General features: G+C 41.5%; 1 protein-coding gene across 4 annotated transcripts in view; it reads left to right on the forward strand.

Annotated features, from left to right (window-relative positions):
* The window catches only part of ITPR1 (inositol 1,4,5-trisphosphate receptor type 1), a 354,159-nt gene that overhangs the window by 130,037 nt on the left and 197,956 nt on the right, over window positions 1-26,166 (forward strand). For all 4 annotated transcript variants that reach the window (NM_001378452.1, NM_001099952.4, NM_001168272.2 and 1 more), the window contains 6 exon segments: window positions 4,379-4,494; window positions 16,000-16,086; window positions 18,709-18,867; window positions 20,752-20,850; window positions 22,003-22,086; window positions 22,198-22,344. In NM_001378452.1, the coding sequence (NP_001365381.1) occupies window positions 4,379-4,494; window positions 16,000-16,086; window positions 18,709-18,867; window positions 20,752-20,850; window positions 22,003-22,086; window positions 22,198-22,344 (692 nt within the window).

Consider the following 26,166-nt stretch of genomic DNA (forward strand, 5'->3'; position numbering starts at 1 on the left):
TTTTTGAAAGCTAGCTTAGTTTATTCCTCAAAGGCCTAAAATAATACTTGTCACATAAGACATTCTTTGTGGCATTTCTTTGGGGTGAGTTCAAACAACAGTGTATGTGTGTGTGCATGCATGCATACGCACACATATGTACACACATGTGTTCTCCTTCCCCCAAATAAATATTAAATATATTCTTCTGGTTTTCCTGTATTTGTACATTTCTATACTTAGCAGAGTGTTAGGGCCCAGTGCAAGTTTAATTTTGCTCTGCTGTGCCATCCAAATAGCAAAGGGCAATATGGAACCTGCAAATTGCAAAATTTTGGAAGGTTATTCTAACATTACATTTGAATTGCTTAATTTAATTTTCACTTTGAATCAGTTGCTAAGCAACTGGGAAGGCAGGGCAAAATCAGCAAGGCTAATTTCGTTCTGTTACTAGTATGTTAGCATCTCTTATATTTACACAGACAGTTGGTTGTAAATACACTTAATGCAATGCAATACTCTGTTTCGCCCAAGGAAAATAGTTGATGTGGAAGTTGGAGCAAGGCTTTGGTTGGATTGATGTTATTTAAATACACCCTCTCACCTTAGGGGAATGTAAAGTTATCGGAAGTTTTGAGCTTGTGATGTAGCCCCTTTGTTAGGTGACGTGCTTGACTTGCTGGTACTGTGAACAGTTGTAAAATGCTTTCCATTGTCTGTTATCCTTTGGCATCATGAATCCACCCTGAGTGTCCCCCACATCTACCTAAATCAGTTTTTTGGGAATGCATACCACTTAGTGTCATCATATGAAGCATGCTGGAGAGAAAAGGTCATTTTACTCTCTATAGCTTACTATTGGTGAAAACTGACATTGTTAACCCCATTTGGTCCATAAAGTAAGTCATGTGTCAAATGTTAATGCCAGTGACTTAAATATCTTGAATATTTTAAAAAGTCATGTGGTCATTAAGGAAGCCATTCTGGCCCAACCCAGTTTCCCGAATTAGATTAAGATTAAACAGTAAGGTGCAGTGTCTCACGCCTGTAATCCCAGCACTTTGGGAGGCCAAGGTGGGTGGATCACTTGAGGTCAGGAGTTCGAGACCAGCCTGGCCAACATGGTGAAACCCCATCTCTACTAAAAATACAAAAATTAGCTGGGCATGGTGGTGAGCACCTGTAATTCCAGCCACCTTGGGAGGCTAAGGCAGAAGAATCACTTGAACCCGGGAGGCAGAGGTTACAGTGAGCCGAGATCGTGCCACTGCACTCCAGCCTGGGCAACAGAGCCAGGCTCTGTCTCCAAAAAAAAAAAAAAAAAAAAAAAGATTAAACTATAATGCAGTATTCTGTTATTTGTTGTTTATTATAGTTTTATATTATCATTAACACCTTGAAACACATAGATGCTTTGGGATAATGTTCAGGCCTGTGTCAAAGATGGGATAGTTAATGTAAACTACTGTCTCCTGGTCATGTATGGTTATTCATGGAGTGAATGGAGAATTCACATATATTAATATTAAGCTGGTAGGAAAACTGCTGCTCTGGATGTAATGTCATTAAATTGCCACTAATATAGCAAATGACCATGACCTGTGTCTTTCCTAAGAGGTGGGGAGAGCAGATTGGTCTTTTAAACTGGTCTCCTGCTTTATCTTTTGTTTTCCAAAGTCCTAGAGAGTATCTTTCATATGCAGTAGAAATTATTCAGTAGATGGATTAGATTCTTGATAAAGATAGCTATCATGGTCCCATATTTACCTTATAACTGCCTGTGACTAGGTAGAAATATTTAGTGATGAAGGAGATTACAGAAACTGGAAAAATACCTATTCTACAATTAAGTGATCTTTTTTTTTTTTTTTTCTGAACAGTCTCAGGTATTTGTGTATGCAGTACATAGTAACAGTTAATTATGGATCATGACTAGAAGAAAGAGTGATCTGAATTAGAGGAAAGACCTAGTGTTTATGTACTTGACTGCAAATCCATTTTTCTTATTTTGAGATATTTATTTGACTAGGACAATAGCTAGGTATTTACCTGTTCAAGGCACTTTAAGGGAATCGGTTTTAATGAATAGGTAAGAATAAATGTACAGTTAGTAACTTCCTTAAATGCTTGTCCAGACCTACTTTCAGGGTGTCATTTTTCTGAATATCAGTATCCACTTCAAGTTCGTTAATTTTTTATTTTTATTTTTTTGAGACAGAGTCTGGCTCTGTCGCCCAGGCTGGAGTGCAGTGGTGTGATCTCGGCTCACTGCAAGCTCTGCCTCCCGGGTTCACACCATTTTCCTGCCTCAGCCTCCCGAGTAGCTGGGACTACAGGCGCCCGCCACCACGCCCGGCTAATTTTTTGTATTTTTTAGTAGAGGCGGGGTTTCACCATGTTAGCCAGGATGGTCTCGATCTCCTGACCTCATGATCCACCTGCCTTGGCCTCCCAAAGTGCTGGGATTACAGGCGTGAGCCACCGCATCTGGCCCAAGTTCATTAATTTTACTCTTCAGATATTTACTATTTGAAAACTCAGTATGTCAAAATGTAAACTTTTCATGGGGAGTGTCAATTTTAAATATTGGTTTCCTAGAGTAGTTATTGGTTTGTTGATGACATATCCCTGTCAGAAAAATCTGGTGAAGCCCAAATATTAGCTACTTGAGAAGCTGAGGCAGGAGGATGGCTTCAGTCCAGGAGTTCCAGGCTGTAGTGTGCTATGATTGTCTGTGAATAGCCATTGCACTCCAGCCTGGGCAACATAGCAAGTCCCTATCTCTTTAAAAAAAAAATTGGTGGCTATACCCTAAACTTTCTGTGTGTGTGTGTGTGTGTGTGTGTATTTTTAAAAGTTACAAACGTGTATTATTGTAGTAACACATTGTAGGCAATATAAAACAAGTGGAAAGTAGAAGGTAATAACTCAGATTAAGATTAAACAATAATGTACCCTGTTATTTATGATGGTTTCATATTATCATTAATACCTTAAAACACATAGATGCTTTAGGGTAATGTTCATCATTAAAAACAATATTTTAAGTGGTTTTAGTTATGATTTTTAATGTCTGGATGGCTTTTTCCAGATCTGATTAGATCATCATTCTTTTTGCTTTACAAGAGCTCTAAGGGAAGGGTTGGTTCTGCCTTTTTTGGTTTGCTGGGTTGCATTACTATTACCTTTGATGTTTTGATTTTTCTGCAGAAATCTTTTGAAGCCACTTGTCCATTTTATGAATGTTGGTTATACCACATAAGACAATGTATAAAGTTGTATAAACCGAGGCATGCTAAATGGAAGCACATCGCAGTGCACTGAGAGTGAGGGGACAAGGGCACAGACTATCTAAATGCCAGTTTATATATTTTCTTTCTGTGTCCCAGAAGGTCATCTTGCACACAGTACTCAAGAGACCACTGCCCTAGGAGAGCCCTCCAAATAAGCATCTTATTTATGTATTTATTTTTGAGACAGAATCTTGTTCTGCCGCCCAAACTGGAGTGCGGTGGTGTGATCTTGGCTCACTGCAACCTCTGCTTCCCAGTTTCAAGCGATTCTTGTGCCTCAGCCACTGGAGTAGCTGGGATTACAGGCGCGTACCACTATACCTGGCTAATTTTTTGTATTTTTTAGTAGAGACGGGGTTTCACCTTGTTGACCAGGCTGGTCTCAAACTCCTGACCTCAAGTGATCCACCTGCCTCAGCCTCCCAAAGTGCTAGGATTACAGGCATGAGCCACCGTGCCGGGCCTGTAATATTTTTTCTAAATTGAATAGTACTGAAGAGAGTTGGATTTGTATAAAAAAAAAAATACTTGTATGCATTGTTGTATACAGCAAGGACTATTTGTCCTTGTATTTATTTGTTCATTGTAAAGGAAATGAGATAACTATGGGGTAGCATTAACAACGTGGCAAAACCCATCCCTACTAAAATATAAAAAATTAGCCAGGCTTGGTGGCATGTGCCTGTAGTCCCAGCTACTCAGGAGGCTGAAGCAGGAGAGTCACTGGAACCCAGGAGGCGGAGGTCGCAGTGAGCCGAGGTTGTGCCACTGCACTCCAGTCTGGGTGACAGAGGGAGACTCAGTCTTAAAAACAAAAACAAAAAAGCAAAACAAACAAAAAAAACACAAAACACTGAATTTGTACAGCTCTGCTACCAAGTGGTTCTGTAGAACAATCGACTCACTTTCTTTAAGCCTTGGTTTCCTCGGCGGTGGTGGCAATTAAATTCAAAAAGAGATTTGTCAAAGAGCTTTGTACTCTCATTTTATATCTATGTATGATGTAATTTTATGTAATTTTTTAAGTGGAAAGCCTTTTTTTTTTCCTTAGGCTGAGTCTCTATACACCCTCAATGGCAATTTCTGTTTGTTTGCTTCACTTCTAGACTGCCTCTTTAAGCTATGTCCCATGAACCGCTACTCTGCCCAAAAGCAGTTCTGGAAAGCCGCTAAGCCTGGGGCCAACAGCACCACAGACGCAGTGCTACTCAACAAACTGCACGTACGTATTGCCATGGGGCTGTCGATGGGGCAGTAGTGAGTGGCTGCCTTGGTGGTATCTGGGTGTAATGGTGGGAGACTGCTTATGCAACCCTCCAATTCTAGCAGCCAGCTTTCTACTTTTTTTTTCGTGAAGGGGTAGAAGGGAACCGACCGTAGAGAGGGATAGATCCTAGTCATCTTGAGATGTCTGGAGAGTTCTTCTTTTCTCAGCCACTCTCTTTGCATGGGTAGCTTTGGATGGAGAAGTGGTTATGAGTACAGGCACTGGAAGCAAACTGCCTGGAATGGAATCCTGCCTCCACCACTCAGCAACTGGTGCTCTTGGGCACGTTATGTGCTGTTTTCCACTTCTGTTATGTCACCTGTAAAATGGAAATGGCAGTACCCACCTCAGGAGGTCATTGTGAGGATTACAGAAAATGAGACATAAAAGCCACATGAATGGTGCCTGGCACATAATAAATGCTTGATAAGTTTTGGCTGTTAGCATTGTATCTGTTGTGTTATCTGGCATATTAAAGATGTGCTCATTCCACTGCTGACGTGCTGTGTGACCATAGCAAGTTTTTGAGCCTCTCTCATCCTGTTTCACCTTCTGTAAAATAATGACATAGTTCTTTTAGTGCCCTGCATTCCGAGGCTAATCAGGAAGTTCTCTGAGATGTTTAAAAGGAGACATGACGTATAGCCAGTGTACTAACATCGAAATTGTGCCCCATTTCCTGTTCCCTGAGCTACTTCATTTTCTCCCCGTCATGTAACATCATCTTTCTAATGTATTTTGGTTACTGGCTGCCTCCCTCCTCTGGCATGTGAGTTTCTTGAGGGCCCAGGTCTGTGTCAGTGTTGCTTGTTGCAGTGGGCTTTGTGTCTACAACAAGGTTGGGCACTTACCAGGCACTCCCATCAAATATTTCACGGAATGCACAGTGATCTTTCCTGGGGCTCAGTGATGACAGTTGAAGACCTAGAGCATCTGTGAGCCCCAAGCACCTCAAGAGGTCCTGCCTCTCACCTTGCTCCATTTTTGACCAGCGTATGGCTAAGTCACAGCCAGCTGCATTTGGTCAGGTGAGGGTCACGTGAAGGGAGTCCTACATGCAGTGTGTGTTGTTTCAGACGGGCTGTGATGAAAAGCCCAGGCTCCTCACCTCAGGGAGCTTACAGTCCAGCATGAGGACACCTAAGCTCACTCCCATTGAACCTAAAGTGAAATCCAGACTTTCTGTCATCATCTACAAGATGGTCCATGCCTGGACCCTGCTGCCCCCACAGAGGCTTCTTAACTACATTCTGGCCGTATGAGCTTTATTTTATTTTATTTTATTTTATATTTTATTTTATTTTTTGAGCACCTCAGACTCTCAACTGTCACATGACCTTTGCACCCTCAGTTTGTCCTGTTGAGAACATTGTTTTCCTGGCTCTTCTTGAGCTAGGACTTTGAGCCTTTGTGTCTCAGCCGAAGTGTCATCTCAGCAAGGTCTTCCCCTCCCACCTTATCTAAGAGATGTCTTGCTTGTTTTTCTCCATGATAGCACCCTGCTTATATCTTTCTCAGCACTGATCAGGGTCTGCAATTATATTTAGTAGCTTCGTTAATTATCACCTGTCGCTTATTAGAATGACAGCTCTACCAGGTGGTGGCATTATCTCTCTTGCTCACTGCTGTATCCCAGCTTCTGTAATAGTGTCTGGCACATAGTAGGTGCTCGGAAATAATTACTGAATAATGAATGAGCAGTGTGCTAGGTGCTAGAGATAGAAGTATAACAGTCTTAACCCTGTGGGAGCTGAATATCAAAGAATAAAGAGGCAGTGATAAGTACTATATTACAGGACAAACCACACAAAGCTGTGGGAGCACATAGGAAGGGTGCCAAATCGGTCTTTGCTGGATAAGAGGGTGTGATACAGTGGTCAGGGAGGGCTTCCTGGAGGAAGAAGGAAGTGCCGAGTAAGCCTCAGTCGGAGGCACCCATGGGATTTAGAGGGTAGAAGAAGAAGAAACAATGGACTCAAAGACTTGGAGGCTAGTGATTGCTTTGAAGACTTCTGGAATTGCATCGTTATTTGAATAATGATGATTATATCAGACATCCTCAATCCCAACAAAAGCATTGTACCTTCTTTAGAGCAAATATTATATGGCTTTATGAACATGGAATAAAATTCATAAATAATAGATACCAATTTTAAAAAATTATAAAGGAGAAATAAAAGGAAAGTAATAAATTATATAGTAAATTGAATACTCTTCTTAAGTCAATGCTCAGGGATGACTGCTCTGGAAGGCGTGAGGAAGTAAGTGCTTGCACCTCTCTGTATAAACCCCATGAGTGAGGCAGCTGTAGACTGTGACTGGTGTAGGTATATGGTATTGGCAGTGTGAAAAGCATGTTATCTGTGACGTGGTTTTCTAAAAGGGCTTCAAGCATAATCACAAAAGACATAATCTCAAGTGCCATAATCCCAAATGTTGAAATCCCTAAAAATTCAGTTCCAAAAGTCTAAATCCCTAAAGTGTAAAATCCTGAAAATCACAGTCGTAGGATATAGCTGCATGTTAGGCCAGCTCTTGTGGACTGTCTCTGTTCAAATGCCCATAATCTATTCCTGCAATACACTTTTTCTTATATCAGATTTTTAAAGTTTTTTTTTTACTATTTTAAATTGTCCGCATTATTATTATTATTATTATTATTATTATTATTATTATTTTTAAGGCAGAGTCTCACTCTGTTGCCCAGGGTGGAGTGCAGTGGCGCCATCTCGGCCTACTGCAACCTCCGCCTCCCGGGCTCAAGCGATTTTTCTGCCTCAGCCTCCCAAGTAGATGGAATTACAGGCATGCACCACCACGCCCTACTAATTTTTTTGTAGTTTTAGTAGAGGCAGCATTTCACCATGTTGGCCAGGCTGGTCTCGAACTCCTGACCTCAAGTGATCCACTGCCTCGGCCTCCCAAAGTGCTGGGATTATAGGGGTGAGCCACCGTGCTCAGCCCTGTCAGCATTATTTTTTACAATTCACTATGCTATGTGTTTAATCTTCGCATCATTTTCAATATTGGAGATTTAAATGGTGTGGCGACTAACATTAAAGAGTTCTGATTCATTTTATGCATTCTTTTGCAAGTTTAACTTCATGAAAGTGCATTGTTACAACTTGACGTGAATATGTGAAAACATGGGAACTTCCCCTGCAAATAAAGGGATGTTCTTCCTCGATGAATGAAGAGATGTTTGTGTTTGTGAAAGATAAAATTACTTGAGCTCTCAGCTCTTTGGGCGACTGCATATCCAGTGGTGACCCTCTGTGGTTTTGATCGATCTTGTGAAAAGACTCAGGTTGCTGGTCATGGTATTTCAGATGACTGCAGTATGAGCTTGGTGCACACAATCACCAACCATAGTGATACACGATTTTACATTTCCCTTTTTGACCTATTTCTTTATGGTTAATCTGCGCATAATCCCTGTGACCATTGTTAGTATACCTGAGTATTTATGCTTGCAAAAATATGTATGTTACTATTCCCCATTTTATTGTATAAAATGGCCTGTGAAGTGTTCTGTTGTGTTTTTATATGTTTCTCAAATCCTCTTTTAAAAATATCAATCTCTTTTAAAGAATTTTAAAATTATTTTTTCCGGAATTATATTTTGGGGATTTTGGTCTTTTTTGACCTTTGGGGATTTTAACATTTGGGATTATGGCATTCAGGATTGTTGTGCCTTTTGGGATTATGATCGTATCTTTTTCCAAAATAATCAGCAGTTCTTAATTATATTATGAATAATGCAAAGTACACTCTTTTCTTTCTTAAGTAGTACTTGCACGTTTGGAAAATTTATTAATAGTATTAATAAAACCATGGAAAGCTGTGATTTCTGTTGATATGTAAAATGGAGTGGGGTGCTAGGTTCAGGTAATTACAGATACCCCCAGGCTGGAATGCAGTGATGCCATCATGGCTCACTGCAGCCTTGACAACCTGAGCTCAAACGATCCTCCTGCCTTAGCCTCCCAGAGTGCTAGGATTATAGGCATGGACTACTGCGCCCAGCCGACAGATAACTTTTTAACTTATGTGAATATCCAGCTGGACATACAATTGTATGGGATAAATGATGGTTCATCCTTGCATAGGATTGTAACATGCGTTCACTTTACCCAGCATCCCTAGCTCCTGTCCACTGAACATCAGTAGCACCCTCTTCCAGTCACTGCAGCAATCCATAATCTCCTCAAAGTCTGTGCTGGGAACATGGGAATCTAGTTGAATAGGTGGGGAAGGTTGGTCAGTCCTGCATGTATGTATATTTAGTGCATATGCCCATAGGGGGCTATCTTTCTGGAGGGTCTATGTGTCTTTAGTTGTCCTCACTTTGCTTTTCTGGTATAAAGATCATTTTGTTCAGTGAGATCTTATTAATACATCTCCAACTCTTTCCTCTCCTATACTTTTTACCACAGGGGTTGTAAATTCAGATTCCTCTTGGCCATACGGGAAATCAACAGGAATAAAGTGGGCTTGGTGGGTAGTGTTGCCAAGTGGAGAGTCCCATGGGTGGGTCTGGAGGGGCAGCTCTACTTCCCTACTGTCACTGCTTGGGAATGTGGGCTGAGAGCTGCTGCCACGTCTTCCACTTTTTAAGAGAAGATAAAAATCCATGCTTTTAGTGTAGTATCTCAATTTTAAAAAGATGTTGGGAACTAATTCAATTAAGGCTTGAAATATACACTCAACACCAAAAGAAATGGCTCAGGCTGGATGTGGTTCTTCAGCCCCATTTGCAACCTGTGCTCTATATGTTATGTTTCATCAGCAAGTCCTTTCGACACTCCTTCCTATGAATGAACTGTGAAGAAAACAGCATGGTTGAAAAAAGTTCAATCATAAGGTGATCAAAAATGGTCAACTCCTTATTAAAAAGAAAAAAGAGAAAAACAGAAATCTCTCTCATGCTGTTTATGTTTTTAAAAAATAAAAAAGGAAGCCAGTTCTTTTCCCTGATTTAAGATTACTGATGTGACTTTCAGGTCTTTTTTTTTTTTTTTTTTTTTTTTTTTTGAGATGGGGTCTTGCTCTATTGCCAGGCTGGAGTGTAGTGGCACGATCTCAGCTCACTGCAACCTCCACCTCCCGGGTTCAAGCGATTTCCCTGCCTTAGCGTCCTGAGTAGCTGGGACTTCAGGGGTGCGTCACCACGCCCGGCTAATTGTTTGTATTTAGTAGAGACGAGGTTTCACCATTTTGGCCAGGATGGTCTCGATCTCCTGAACTCATGATCCACCTGCCTTGGCCTGCCAAAGTGCTGACATTACAGGCATGAGCCACTGGGCCCGGCCTCAGGTCTTGAATGTTGACTTTGTGCTTCACTTTCTGCAGTTCCTACTTTCCTACTTAGCTGGAACTTTTCCCCCTAGTGTCTTAAAGTTATCTACATATTTCATTCAATTTACATTCCCACCAGCCAATACGATGTTGTATTTTGGACAGCCACTTTGCCTTTGGAACTGATGGCCAGTCTCCAGTGGGTTTTCATTTTTATTTTTCTCAACTACTATGCAGCACCCCAATCAGAAGTCAGACTATTTTAAATTAATGCCATTTAAGGAATTAGTTGTCTAGACCACTTGACTTCCTTTTGACTAGGATGAGCAACATCAACAGCACTTTGAAGGAGAGTGACATCTAGTGGCTGGATACTGTCTATGCTTTTTCCTTCTGCAGGAATAACTGGATTTTGACTCTCTTGGTCATGTTTTCCTAAGGGTCTCTTGACAAAATGAGCTTCTTCCCATCCGCAAATCACATAAATTTCTTCTAAAGGCCATTACTACTGTTTTCTGACAGCAGCATAGCTGTTACCTTGAAACAAGCACCTACATTGTTTTGTTCTGAGAAATGATTACTTAAGTCACAGCTTTGACCAGCTAGGAAGAGCTAGAGGAGTGACAGGTCCTTATTGTCTGGGTACTACATTGCTTGTTTTTAGAAGCCTTGCTTCAATATCGCATTACATGATTCAGAGCTTGTTGACTTTAACAAAATAACCTTTCCTTACTGTTTCAGTCACCTTTCTATTGTCATTCGATAATAGTTTCTCTGTTGCTGAAATAAAATAACAGGTGGCTATGATGGGGCAGACCTTGATGTTGCTTAGGGAACATGGTGAATAATAGTGGTGGAACCATTTCATAGAGTGTTTTTTTTCCCCTTAGAAATTAAAAACAGCCCGCAACCCATTATTCAAGGGAAAAGAGTAATAGATATTTAAATTATCAGGATTTTAAAGTAATGAAAAGGTAACACATTTAAGATGCCTTTTTCTTTTTTTTTTGAGACAGTCTCACCACTCTATCACCCACGCTGGTGTGCAGTGACATGTTCCCGGCTCACTGCAGCCTCAGCCTCCTGAGCTTAAGTGATCCTCCCACCTCCCTGCCCAGTAGCTGGGACCACAGGCACACACCACCATGCCTGGCTAATTTTTGTATTTTTTGAAGAGTTGGGGTTTTGCCACATTGCCCAGGCTGGTCTTGAACTCCTGAGCTGAAGCAATCCACCCACCTCGGCCTCCCAAAGTGCCAGGATTACAGACATGAGCCATGGCATGACTTTAAAAAATTCAGAGTACCTGACACAGAGACATGATGAAGGTGTTTTTGAAGAAACTACACACTTGTATTTTAGGAGGAGTATTCCAAAATCTGTGAGTAGGAAAAGCAAAAAAATATTAATTGATGTGATTCGTAAATTGTGTTCCTCAAAGATAACCTTGGGTTTTATTTTGATGTTTTCCCTACTCTCCTACCCCCTATTCTGTTCCTGTGTCTCCACATTTTAAAGTATCAACAGGAGTGTGCTATTCACTTCCCTTTCTTGTTGCCCAGGCTGGAGTACAGTGGTGCGATCTTGGCTCACTGCAACCTCCACCTCCTGGGTTCAAGTGATTCTCCTGCCTCAGCTTCCTGAGTAGCTGGGATTACAGGCATGCACCACCACACCTGGCTAATTTTTGGGGGTATTTTTAGTAGAAACGGGGTTTGGCCATGTTGGCCAGGCTGGTGTTGAACCCCTGACTTCAGGTGATCTGCCCGCCTCAGCCTTCCAAAGTGCTAGGATTACAGGCGTGAGCCACCGTACCTGGCCTCTATCCTCATTTTTAATGGCTACACGGTTACTTCCTTGTTTGGCAGTACTGTCATTTTAGATAAGCAGCCTCTATGGGCAGACGTTAGGTAGGGAGTGATATTCAGGATCTTGACAACATTTGCCATTCTGAAAAAAGTTGTATGGCCTTGTGCATATGCCAGGTTGTCCTCTTAGGAGAAACTCCTAGAAGTGGAATTGTTAAGTCAATGTTATGTTGAGTGAAAAGTTTTTTGGTCAATATTGCCTGAGTATCCTTTAGAAAGGTGCTAACTCAGTAAAGGTACTAATTCAATATCTTTCTTTTTTTGTGGTGGGGACGGAGTCTCACTCTGTCGCCCAGGCTGCAGTGCAGTGGCACGATCTCGGCTCACTGCAAGCTCCACCTCCCGGGTCCACCCCTTTCTCCTGCCTCAGCCTCCCGAGTAGCTGGGACTACAGGTGCCCGCCACCACGCCCGGCTAATTTTTTGTATTTTTTTTTTAGTAGAGACGGGGTTTCCCTGTGTTAGCCAGGATGGTCTCGATCTCCTGACCTTGTGATCTGCCCGCCTCGGCCTCCCAAAGTGCTGGGATTACAGGCATGAGCCACTGCGCCCAGCCAAAAGGTGCTAACTCAGTATCTCACAGTGAGGGCCCATTCTTGGAATGTACTTGAGGGATTTAACCAACCAGATCTCATTCTTTCTGAGGGTAGAAACAGCCTTGATCAGTGGCCTGTAGTGTTTGTACCTTGTTACCTTTTCATCTACCTTATTGCCTTGCCTCCTGTTGAACCTAAAAAGAATCATGGATAGTTTTGTCTAAATACCAGACTTGGGTTTGTTTGTTTTTTTGTTTGTTTGCTTGCTTTTTTTTTTTGAGGCTGGAATGCAATGGCATGATCTCAGCTCACTGCAACCTCTGCCTCCTGGGTTCAAGTGATTCTCCTGCCTCAGCCTCCCGAGCAGCTGGGATTAGAGGCATTCGCCACCATGCCCAGCTAATTTTGTATTTTTAGTAGAGATGGGGTTTCTCCATGTTGGTCAGGCTGGTCTCGAACTCCCGACCTCACGTGATCCGCCCAAAGTGCTGGGATTACAGGCATGAGCCACCGCGCCTAGCCCAGACTTGGTTTTGTGAGGGGATTTATATAAAAACTAACATGTGAACTGAAATGAATTAAATTTGATATTTGTGCATTTAGAAAAGAAATGGGAAGTTTTCTCCTTAATGAGAACTTATAGGAAAAGTGAATTCTTAAAATGGTCCATAAGCTTAATACATTTAGTGCTAATTCAGTGGTGATGTGAAGGCTCAGGCATCATTAAACTTTATAACAGAATTAAAATAGTATTAACTCTTAGTTTAACAGAGTTTTGACAAAGTTTTAGATGTGATATTTGAGAATGTCTTATTTATCTGTTTTTGAGATGGAGTCTCTGTCACCCAGGCTAGAGTGCAGTGGTACTATCTCAGCTCTTTGCAACCTCCGCTTCCCGGGTTCCAGTGATTCTCCTGCCTCAGCCTCCCAAGTAGCTGGGACTACAGGCGCCCGCCACCATGCCCAGCTAATTTTTGTATTTTTAGTAGAGACAGCGTTTCACCATGTTTGCCAGACTGGTCTCAAACTCCTGACCTCAGGTGATCCGCCTGCCTCGGCCTCCCAGAGTGCTGGGATTACAGGCATGAGCCACCACTCCTGGCCAAGAGTATCTTTCTTTTAAGAGAAGTCTTTAGATATTTATTCTCCAATGTTGTTTTAATTTTCTGTTCTTCTCTTGCCTTTCATATGTCTTTTGACAAATGACTATGCTCTTTAGAGCTGCTCGTGTTTAATTAGTCTTTAATGTGGAATATGCCTTCTTGATGGTTAATTTGACATTTCTTTCTAGATGAACCAGTAACCATTGCGTTGCTGTTGTTATACTGTACTTATTCTAAGCATAGGTAGAAACATAATATTAGCATTTCTTAAACTGAAGCCATTGGACATTCTTGAGAGTAAGGGGAATGCTCATGAGCAGTTTTTCTCTTAAAGATGAGCTCTTTGATCATTTGAGTCCAAGAAATGCTACTTAAGAACTCTCTAAAGGTGAATCCTTTCAGCTTGGGCTTTGAACAGAGAAAAACCATATTTGCATGTTGGAAAATGTTATATTTTATTTTACTGAATCCATTGAGTTTTTTCCCTTTGATATTTTCCCCCTCTTGAGTTTGCAGTCAGTGTTAGCTGAGAACTCTTAAGCAGAAAGAACAAATGGCTCTCCGCAAAGAATAAGCCTTCATTCCAAATGGATGCAGTCCAATGTTATGTTTGGAAGACTACCTGCAGAACCTGTGGGTACTGTAGAAATCTCTGAAGGGAGTGTAAGCTCAGGTGTGAAATTAGGGAGAACAAGAGGTGGGAGGCTGCTAAGGAGAGTATTTATGCAGAGGAAAGAAAAGGTTCAGGAGGACTGTGCTGAGGGCAACTTGCATGCCAAAGATTGCCACGTTGCAAGCACTGGTATTATTTCTGAATGTGTCTTGCACCCAGTGGATTTTATCCTTGTGTCACTGAGAATAGCAGACTGGTAACTAATTCCAAAAGAGAGAGAGGGAAGTTTTGAATGGGCTGTTGTTTTAAAGAGCTGATACAGATGGGGTCAACTTGCAGTGATCTATGCTAACCTGTGTGGATCATTCCCCTCCTGTAATATGGTTTCATTTTGGCTTAGAATTGCTTCTGGCAGTTCATTTTTCTCAAAAGATGTGCTTTCCTAAAAACACCTGTGTTCCAGGTAGAAATGGAACAGATGCTGACTTTGAAGGAAACAGAAAGGTTCTTGACCTAGCCAACTTAGGTCACCTTTTGAAATGTTAATCAGCAGAACATTTCTTAGTGTTAGAAAGTAGCGTATAATAATAATGGTTAAAATTTATGATCAAATGGCAATTATGTGTCTGGCATACATTTTCTCTGATCTCTACGATGGCCCTAAAAGGCTTGTATTGTCCCCATTTTGTGATGAGAATACTGAGTGAGGCTTGGTGGGATTCAGTAAAGAGGACAAGATAATGAAGCCGGTAGGTAGGCGACCCAAGACCACGTCCAGAAGACTCTGTGAAAATGAAGACACATTACCTGGGAAAGAGGACCCACTGGCACCTGGTAGCATCTGGCCCCAAGGAAAGGAGACCCTCTAGGAAGAGTGCCTTCGAAACCCTTCTGAAGAACACTCTTATCATCAGGGTTTTACCATCCATCAGATTCAATACTGAATTTCTTCTCAGTTATTTTACTTCCCTTTCACCAGTCTATGTTTGGGAGATGGGTTGGGATAACAGTTTGCTGACTGCCTGGGATGAAGCCCGTTGCCCTTTACCATTATTGTAGTGTGGTAACAGTGCTTTCAGAGTTGCACAGGTGAATGAATTCGGGAAGGTGGCCCTGCCAGACTATTCTAGAACCTTCTATTCAGCTTTACCATGTTCCCCCCCTAGCATGTCACATTTGGAATGGTAACCTCTCCCAGTCTCATTTGTGACTATACAGTTAATCCAAATGTGGATTTGAATACTATCTCTGCGACTTAATAAATGCATGGTTTAAAAAACATTATTAAGCGAAGATTTAAATGTACACAGAAGTGGAGAAAGGGTATAACAAATCCCTTTCCTACCCATCATCTAACTAGCTATGCAAGGGTGACCAAATTTTTTAATCACTTTGAGTCAATTTCTTCTTTAAAAGTGGGATAATAATGTTCTTTTCACGGAATGATTATAAAATTGATTACATTATGATTAATGTCTAACAAGAATAGCTAATAACTCCATGTGTGCTACAGTGTATCAGGTACCGTGCAGTGGAGTTCATGTGAGGTGCAGGTACCATCTGATCCTTATTTTACAAAGGAGGAGACCCAGGCTCACTGATATTAAATAACACATTCAAGTTCACAAAACCACAAACCACCCAAATCCAGCATTTAAATTCAATCTTCTTTTACTCCAAAGCCTTAAAGAGGACTTTCACAGATTATAAAGGGGCTATGCAAATTCCCTCCCTCCCCGACCCTATTTTCTTTGAAGATATTTCAGCTTTTGACTTACTCTCACCCTAAGCAAATACCCATGAATTCCTTAAAGAAAGAAAAAAAAGCATTTTAAAGAAGGCAAAAAGGCCAGCCAAGCAAAGGCGGAGTGGATGGGCTGTTTGAACCCCTTGGCTCATTTCTTGAAGCCTCAGGGTGTGTCCTCAGGGATTTGCGTATTTCGGTGGTTCTTGTATGAACTGGCGACATTTGTTCTGCGTCACTGCAGTGGGATAGAACACATGGTTTCCTCTTTGTGATCAATCTTTCTTCTCAATGCACAGCACGCTGCAGACTTGGAAAAGAAGCAGAATGAGACAGAAAACAGGAAATTGCTGGGGACCGTAATCCAGTATGGCAATGTGATCCAGGTAGGTCAAGGCAGCTCTTCCCTTCTGAAGCTGAAGCGTTACAAAGAATGCAGCTGAGGAAACAAACACCTAAGACAGGGTTTGGACACCTTTACAGCAGGACTCCATGGAGGCAGCCAGTTTATTGCAAAAAGTCTAGTGTTTCTTGTTAGATGTGATAGACTCTTTGGGCTATTCTGCTGGTCATCTCTCAGCGTGAGCATCTACTTCTCTCTGTCTGTGGCTGATCATTTCACTCCAGACACTTCAAATGGGAAGCTTCCTACTTGAAAAGGAACCTGGCTGTGGCAGTTCTGTTTAATTTGTAATGCTTGAAAATTCTTCCTACTTCGGTGAAAATTAGCTTCCCTATAACTTTTATCTACTGGCCTAAAACAGCTGCTCCCAGGAGGTAATAAGAGCAATTCTGTACCTTTGGGACTTTTTAAATAAAAAATATTTATCATTTTGATACATTTTATACTTATCAAAAATATTTGATTGTTTTCATGTCTACTCTCATGGGTTGCTTATCCTTTGTGCCTTTAAATTTGCCGTGGAGATAAAACACAATCCAGGAAAAGCTAAACAGGTTTTGCTCAGAAGATCTCTCTGGGTCCATGCCAGTCTTGCAGGAAGCCCAGGGCCACATGTGGCTTTCTTGATTTGTCCAGGCACAAAGAGTAGTAGTTACCAACTATTGAGCACCTAGACCCATTTGGTGATCTTCCTTCATTATTTTCCTTTTTGAAAGATTTTGCCTGCTATGTAAACCTTACTAATTACATAGGAGTCCTTCCCCTTTCTCTTGCTATTAGGTATAGAGCAGGGCTAATCAGGAAGATGGGAACACTAGTAAAAGATTAGTAAAAGCAACCTTTGGGGTTTAAATGGGTTCTTTACATTAGGCCTTTTGAAATAGTGAAAGTAGCTTCCAAAATCTGCTTGAAGATTAGATCCTGCCAGTCCCACTCATGCACTTCCTCCTCCTTAAGTTCCATCCTCTTCAGAATGGACACAGGTGTCCAGGTGGGCTTCAAGTTCAATGTCAGCTTTATTACTAGGCCAGGCCAGTGCCCTGAAATTCAGAGTACAGGACTTCCTGATTTGGTTAGATTGGAGAATATGGCTTGAAATGAAGATGAAAGGTGCAGAGGCTAAGGACATAAACTTTTAAATGCATTCCGGTTTAGGTTTTGTACCTCACTGTGAGATTTGGGGCAAGAAATCTTGCCATGTATCACTTTGCTCACCAGCAAAATGGAAATGGTAATGGCATCTGCTCTTTAGGATGGTTGAGAGGTGCCTGTCCCAGAATAAGCAGTGGATACACCATAATTAATCTTAGTTATTATTACTTCCCCCAGCCCTGGATCTTGGGGCCTACCTGTAGGTAACTTTCGTTTATAAACAAACTGAGTCTGGCACCTAGACAGATGTGTGCAGGACCAGAGGTTACTCACCAGGGGAACAGTTGAGGGGTTGGGAAGACGTTGCCTTCTCCTTATTTATTTTAGCTAGGGGTCATCGGGGCTTATGGATCAGACAGGTTATTCTTCTACCTCCAACTGCGCTGTTCGGGGATTTGGAGGACCTCCTAACAGTTCTAGCAGCTGTATCTGTTACATGTGAAAAGGAGGATAATCGCAATTAGCAATGGAGTCTTTTGCTGGTTGTACCATTTCTCAAGGGATTGGGCAGTCTTTCGTATTCCCTTCCGCTTTCTCTTATAGCCTGTTGAGTTGGGAAGCCTTGGCCAACTCTTTCTGGTCTAGACTGACTATCAGACACGTTATATCCCCTCTAGGTCTTCAGTCTTTCCATATTCCTCATGTAATTATTACCCCAAAGTCAAGAATAAAGTACTTGGAAATTCAAGCCATTTTTTCCAAATGAAATGACAATCCCCTAAAGGGGTTGCATTTTATTTTATTTAATTTTTTGAGAGACAGCGTCTTGCTCTGTCACCCAAGCTGGAGTACAGTGGTGTGATTTCGGCTCACTGTAGCCTGCAACTCCTGGGCTCAGGTGATCCTCCCACCTCAACCTCCTGAGTAGCAGGGACTCCAGGTGTGTACCCCCACACTTGGTTAATTTTAAATATTTTGTAGAGACAAGATCTCCCTGTGTCGCCCAGGCTTGTCTCAAACTCCTGGGCTCAAGCAGTCCTTCTGCCTCTGCCTCCCGAAGTGCTGGGATTACAGACATGAGCCACTTCGCCTGGCCCTGCGTTGTTTTTTAAACTGTTGCCTGTGCTCAGAGTGGCCTTCCTCAGCTCCACCTTTGTGTCAGGGCATGCCACACTGCAGTTCCTTAGCCCGTTCACATAGGGCTAGGTCCACCCCACTGACGGATGGCAGGTTATGATGGCACAGTTGACCTGAGCAACATCCATCTTGTCCAAGGCTTTGCTGAAAAATAAAACATGATAGTTTTTCTTGTATTCTGCCCTCTCTTTCTGCTCCCTTTTCTGTTCTTCCTTTTCTAATCATCTGCAGCCGTAGGCACTTTGTGATTCTCTGGCTTCACCAGCAGCTCAATGGTGGGAGGAATGTTTGCTACATAGTTGGTATGATTGAGAGAAGGAATGGTAGAAAATTCAGATTTGCTGACACTCACTTTATTCTCTTGGTGGGTTTTTAGCTCCTGCATTTGAAAAGTAATAAATACCTAACAGTGAATAAGAGGCTTCCTGCTCTGTTGGAGAAGAATGCCATGAGAGTCACATTGGACGAGGCTGGAAATGAAGGGTCCTGGTTTTATATTCAGCCATTCTACAAGCTGCGATCCATTGGAGACAGCGTAAGTGCGGATTCTCCACCTAGAAAGTCTTCCGTGCCATGCTTCCAAGCATGACTGTATATTAGAGTTAAGGAGGAGACGTTGAAAGTTGGAACCAGAGGCTTGTCCTGTGTAAAGAGAAGGGAATTGCTATGGAAACTAGTGTTTGGGAAACAGGGAACTGTGGAGAGAAGTGTGACCTAAATACTGTCACTGTGTTTTTCCTCCTGGATGTCTGAAAACATTGTATGAACAGCCCATTGCGTTAGGAACTTTACCACAAAAACAGCTATTCCGTGTTAATGTCCTGGAGAGGGTCCCTGTCATTCCAGATCCATTAGTGGAATAGAAATATCTTTTCTATTTTGGAAATAAAGTTCATAAAGGATAGAGGATGGAAAAGAAACAACCGTAGTAAAGAAGGAGAGTAGAATTTGGGATCAGCCTCATTTGTTGCTGTGTCGAGAAGCCGGCAGGCTCCCCGTCGTGTTCAGCAATGCAGTAGGTCTGGAGCAGGGCCCACTCCTGAGGGTTCCACAGTATATAAAGCCACAGGAAGGCTTTTCAGGGAGACTTAGAGCAGTCCTGATATTTGTTGGCTGAATTAGTCAGCCATTACGTGGGCATATACTTCACAGTGACTGTGGTTAAATTCTATCAGCTGTATTTTTGACCTTGTTAACGATTCTAAAGTAGCTGCTTTTTATTGAAAAATATGCCGCAAACAGCATGAAATAGTCTCAAAATGCTCAACCAGCCTTAACTTTAAAACTGGTTTTGACACTTTTTAATAGTGCCATTTAAATTTACAAGCTTTGGGAAGTTTAAATATGTTTGTGTATTTGTGTGTATAAGATAGGGAATGTACCAGAAACATCTAGTACCAGACCATTCCCTCATAGTTGGTAAATAATTGATCCTTAACAGTGAACAGAAAGAAAAGCCCAGTAAAACTTAGGTTTCACCAAAAGTGTTGGATTTATTGAATGAACTTATATTCATTTGGAGTTAGAGAAAATTCAATTGTATATGCTCCTCAAATGTGATAAGCTTGAAAATAGATGGTTTTTCATGTTAGGAAACCATCTTTTCTAACCAAAAATAAAAGACAAGTGTGCCTTGTTCTGAATTTCATTTTCAGCACATCCTTTGGTTTCCTATCCTTTAAACGAATCTGTGTGTGGCCATGGCTTAGTTGAGAAGATGAGATGGACTTGAATTTAAAATAATATTTTACAAAGAATAGGTGTAGACCCATTTGTGGGCCATGAAATCAGTTTAGTGGCTTGTGACTATCCTTTTTGAAAGTGGGATAGAACAGAAAGATCAGACTGTGTTACATCACATAATGATAAGTATTGTTTTTTTGGGGGGGGGGTAACTTTTGTTTTAGTTACATATATATATAGTATTATAATTATAGAAACATGCGTATAAGTCTCAATGGCTGTATATATGACTTGATCATAGACCATGTATTTCCGAATGTTATAGTAAAAATATGAAAGTAATTGTTTTAGAAACATAAAGTTATGGCTTTGTCAAAGATAAAGACTTACTCTGACTCTATCTTGTTTTTTCTTAAATTTAGTTAAAACTTACTTATATAGGTACCTTAAACTGAACAGTTTTTTTTTTTTTTCCTGCTCTGAACTGGCTTTGAAACATCTCTGTATAATCAGTGACACTCGAGGAACAACATTCAGGCTTAGCCTTGTAAACATGACCCCCTCTGCACAGGGTCAGGTTTTAAAGAAGGCGTGGTGTGTGCTACATCTTTATACTTGCTGGGGATAGGCCTTGCCTTCTTCAGCACAGACTCATATGTCTTCTAGAACTGCCCAGTGGTCAATCCGCAGTCCTTATCAGTTTTGTGCAAAGCTCTATTGCTCCTTTCCATTCCAGGTGGTCATAGGTGACAAGGTGGTTCTGAACCCCGTCAATGCTGGTCAGCCCCTACATGCTAGCAGCCATCAACTGGTAGATAACCCAGGCTGCAATGAGGTAAGGACATTGAGTTATGTGTGTGGGTGTGGTTATCCTGCAGGAGCGGGTCTGGCAGGCGCCAGTGCATGCGTGTGCTGAGAGTGACTTCAGCAGTGACTTGGGGCAGGGTGCCCATTCTGCAGGTGAAGAAACAGGCCCAGGGTCAAGGCTGCCGTGTAAGGTTGTGCAACTGTGTGCAGTGGGTAGTAGATGTGGGCTGATACTCACTCTAGTGCTCAGTTTGTGAAGCCTTGCGTCACTGAGGGGTTGTTTTTTCATTGGTGAAGCCAGAGATGAACCCTTTTACTAATTTTTTTCTGGCCATAGGAGCACCTTTTTCTAATTTGTCTCCATATACAGGGTGCCTCTTTTTAACTGTTCAAAAAGGAACACTGCAGCTTATCAGCAGCCCTGCAAGAGTGATAGCTTGCTTTTGGCAATACATCTACTTCTCCTCTAAATTAGCAATTATAGGATGCAAGGATGTTACTTCCTTGTGACATAAATATTTGTCTGATGGGTAAAGACATAAACTCTTCAGTGGGATAGATGTGGGTTCACATCCTGTCTGCCTTTCCAAGCTCTGTGACGGCAGGTTGGTTACCCGGTCTCCCTGCATATCAGTTTCCTTATCTCTGAAATGGGGGCGGCGGTCGGACCTATTTTTCAGGGTGTTGCCAAGAATTAAAGGAGATTGTGCGTGTTAGCACCTAAACCTAGTGCCTGGCACAGATTTAGTGCACAAACAATGGCTGCTGTTGTTAACAATGATCATTAACATTTTCGAGTGTATACACTGGACTCATTTTTTTTCCCTTTATGGCTCATCCCATTTTATAAGTACTTATTTTCATCAGGCCTTTACTTTCTGGCTACAGAACAAGAGACTTGGAGGAAAATGAAAATATCATTCCAGAAAGGCAGGAGGCTTGGTTCCATTAGTCATGGTTGGAATGTGCATAGTGATTGGTGCAAATGAACCATTTATTTCCAAACTCTGCCAGCAGGCCAGTTGATTTTGCAGGTGCTGTGATTTTAGTGGCGTCAATCTTTAGAGTTTTTAGTCTCAAGTACAGCCTTGCTTCCTAGGCTGCGGTGAGAAGTCTGGGGGCTGGATGACACAGTTGTTGTGAGGGGTACGTGAAAAAATAACTCGAATCTGTGTTTCAGGTCAATTCCGTCAACTGCAATACAAGCTGGAAAATAGTCCTTTTCATGAAATGGAGTGATAACAAAGACGACATATTAAAGGGGGTGAGTTTGATGCTTTATGGGCTGAGCATTACTTGGCTCTTCTTGGGGGCAGCAGTCTAATTCTCTTTTTAAATTCTTTTTTCCTTAATTCTTTCTTGTGTTGACTGTCAGGGTGACGTGGTGAGGCTGTTTCATGCTGAGCAGGAGAAGTTTCTCACCTGTGACGAACACAGGAAGAAGCAGCACGTCTTCCTGAGAACCACGGGCCGGCAGTCGGCCACATCTGCCACCAGTTCAAAAGCCCTGTGGGAGGTGGAGGTAAGGGTAGGGTGGAGAAAGGGCTCCTGGGTTTAGAGGATATCAGCCTGTATATAGGCTCTCTCTCTCTCTATCCTACAAATATTCATACATACATATACCTATATGTGTCTATACACCCACATACACACACCTACACACACACACAGAATACATGTGTGTGTATATATATAAGTCACAAACAAGTACTTATACCCACCTTATTCCAAAAATGGGTTGGGGATGGCATAGTGAAGTAAGTGCATCATGGCATATCATGGTGCTGCATATTTGTGCAGAAGGAAAGAATAAGTACTTTGGAAACAAATTCAAAAACGAAATTAGAAATAGCTTTCTCTGAGCCATCTAATCCCTTCTATTGTTTTCTTTCCCTTGCTCATTTATCTATCACAACAATATTTAACCAGGTGTCTACCTGACACAATACATAGGTGATGCCCACATTGGTGATGGGGCAGAAATGAGAAGATATACACCCAGATAACTGGAACACACAAGGGGATGGTGAAGGTGGTAAGAGGCATATTCCACATGCTCTGGAGGTTTCAGTGAGAGAGGGTGAATGTCTGGGTGGGTGAAGAATTAAGGAAGACTTCCTGAAGGAGATAGCATCTGATCTGGTACCTGCAGGATGATTTGTATTTCAGAAGGAAGAGATGAATGGAGTAGGTTACTTCATGTAAGAGAATGGTGCAGAATGTGGAAACGTGAAGCAGCGTGGGATAAAACTCAGTAACTTGTTTGGTGAAGGGCACGGGATAGGCATGGGAAATTAAACAGAACTGTTTTTGGAGACCAGAGGCTGAAGGGCCATATATCCAGGCTATAGGGAGTTGGGATTTAATTTATGGGCAGGGGAGAAATTTGGAAAGTTGTTTGAGGAAGGGAATAACATAATCAGTGTGCAACTTAAAGAAGCTAGAAGATTCTGCCCACAGCATGTAATTTGTTGTAAGGAGAGTCTAGAATTGCAGGACAAAGAAGGAAATGTTCTGAATGCTTGGTGAAAGAGGCAATGAGAGCTTCAACTAACATGGAGCTCTTTCTTCACCTCAAGCCTTCCTTTCTGTGTAATTGCAGCATGAATTAGAATTCTAATTCAAATTTCTAATTTGAATAGATAAATTTTTCTGTCTCTGCTTGCGTTCTCTTTTCCTCCTCCCTAGCTTCAATTGTTTCATGTTGCTACTGAGGTCTAGCCTATGTATAGTATAGTAAAGTGCCCAAGTCAAGAGTATACAACTCAATGAATTTTTACGTATACGTTCAGCCATGTAACCAGCACCTAGAACAAGAAATAGAATGATAGCAGCACCCAGAAGGTCCCTTGAGCCTCTCTTTCTAGGCAATGTTTCCTTTTTCCTCCTGGAGACTTCTATTGCCTGTTCTTGAACTTTGTATAAATGGAGTCATACAGTATACAGTCTTTATGTTCTGTTTTTTTTTCACTCAGTATAATTATTTTGAGATTCGTATATATTCTTGCATGTATCAGATTAATTTGTTCCTTTATATTACTGCATAATACTCCATCATATGGATACACCACAATTTGCTAATCTATTCACCTGCTGATGGACATTTGAGTTGTTCCCAACTTCTGGCTATTTCAAATAAAGCTTCTAGGGATATTTGTACACAAGTTTCTGTATGGATGTAACTTTTCTTCATTTCTCTGAATTAAATACCTAGCAGTGGATTGGCTGGATCATATGGTAGCCATGGTATGGTATGGTATGGCATGGTATGGTATGGCATGGTATATATTCAACTTTATAAGAAATTGCTAAACTGTTCTCCAAAGTGATTGGACCATTTTACATTCCCACAAGTAATGTGTGAGAGTTCTAGTTCTTCCATATCCTTACCAACACTTGGTATAGTCAGTCTTTTCAATGTTACTCGTTCTAGTAGGTACATAGTGAAATTTCAATGTGGGTTGGATTTGCATCCCCTGTTTGATTTAGTAGGTGTGTAGTGAAATTTCATTGTGGGTTTGGTTAACGATGTTGAGCATTTTTCTCATGTGCTTATTTGGCATCTGTGTAGCTTCTCTGGTGAAATGTTTGTTCAGATAGTTTGCCCATTTAAAAAAATTGTCTTACCACTCTTTTAACATGGATGTTGTAAGAATCAAGTTCAGCCGGACATGGTGGCTCATGCCTGTAATCCCAGCACTTTGGGAGGCCAAGGTGGGTGGATCACCTGAGGTCGGGAGTTTGAAACCAGCCTGACCAACATGGAGAAACCCTGTCTCTACTAAAAAATACAAAATTAGCCAAGCGTGGTGGCACATGCCTGTAATCCCAGCTACTCGGGAGGCTGAGGCAGGAGAATCACTTGAATCCAGGAGGCGGAGGTTGTGGTAAGCCGAGAGTGCACCATTGCACTCCAGCCTGGGCAACAAGAGTGAAACTCTGTCTCAAAAAAAAAAAGGATCAAGTTCATCTTGGGCATTGTATAGAAAAGTTTCCACAGTTATGATAAAAAGGAATCTATATAAAGTTTTTGTTAATTCCCACCCTCTATCCATTTTCCCCTTTCTTCCTCCTCTCTACATGCATTTGCCCTTTAGTTACTCTATGTGTCTACACAGGGACCTGTCAATCCTACTAGATTATAAACTCCTTGAGAGACGTCAGAATGAAATATCAGTTGTCAGATTCTTTTAACAATTATGTCTTCAGAGTTTTTGCTTTAACATCTATAAAAAGGTTCATTTTCTCATTTTAAGCTAATTAAATACGCTGGGTAAAACAGATCACTCATTTGCCTATGACCTTTTAGAAAAATTGTTTTGGCCAGGTGCGATGGCTCATGCCTGTAATCCCAGCACTTTGGGAGGCCGAGGTGGGCGGTTCACTGAAGGTCAGGAATTCAAGACCAACCTGGTCAACATGGTGAAACCCTGTCTCTACTAAAAATACAAAAATTAGCCAGGCATGATGGCACATGTCTATAATCCCAGCTACTCGGGAGGCTGAGGCACGAGAATCACTTGAACCCGGGAGGCGGAGGTTGCAGTGAGCCAAGATTGCACCACTGCTTTCCAGCTTGGGTGACAGAGCGAGACCCTGTCTCCGAAAAGAAAAGTTGTTTTGTTACAATACTGTACATATGCTTACTCTAAATTTGCATTGACTGTGCTTTAGTGTATTTGTAAATGGTGAACTCAGTTTCTGAAATAAAACTTGTTGTTTGCAAAAGAAAAACCTGCAAAAAACAAAATTGCTTGAGAGGCAGAATTTGGTCTTGAACTTTGTCATTGAAGATTGATGCCCCATGGTCCCCACCACAGAGTTTTTTACATTCAGAACAGTCTCTCAGAACCACTTCTCATGTGTAATTTGGATACTGGTACAAAAAAAAATGGAGACTTTCTCATCTTTCAGAGTTAGTTTAAAGTAATAATGCAAACTAAGGAAACATAGAAAATCAAGAAAACAAGGGAAGAAGTGAAGTGTTGTTTCACTGATTTAATGTGCCTACTTCCATTGAGCTGTTTTTCTATGAACAGGATATTTTTGCATAGTTGATACCATTTTATAAACAATTTTCCACCTTGTTCTCCTGAATTTCATAGGAAGACGTTGAATAGTTCTTTCTCTCATTTTTTAAAATGGATTCTGGAAAGTCAAGTGCCCCTCAAAATAAAAGAGGGAAGACAACACCATGTATTTTATATTTGTAGTAATGAGCCAGGGTTTACATTATATGTCTGTAGCTTATTGATCACCCCCAAACAAATACTATGCTCATTAGCAGTCATTCCCTATTTCCCCTTCAATATCCTCCCATTCTCCTGCGCTTGGTAGCTAATCT

The sequence above is a fragment of the Homo sapiens genome, chromosome 3 (genome assembly GCF_000001405.40).
Source record: "Homo sapiens chromosome 3, GRCh38.p14 Primary Assembly".
Lineage (NCBI taxonomy): Eukaryota > Metazoa > Chordata > Mammalia > Primates > Hominidae > Homo > Homo sapiens.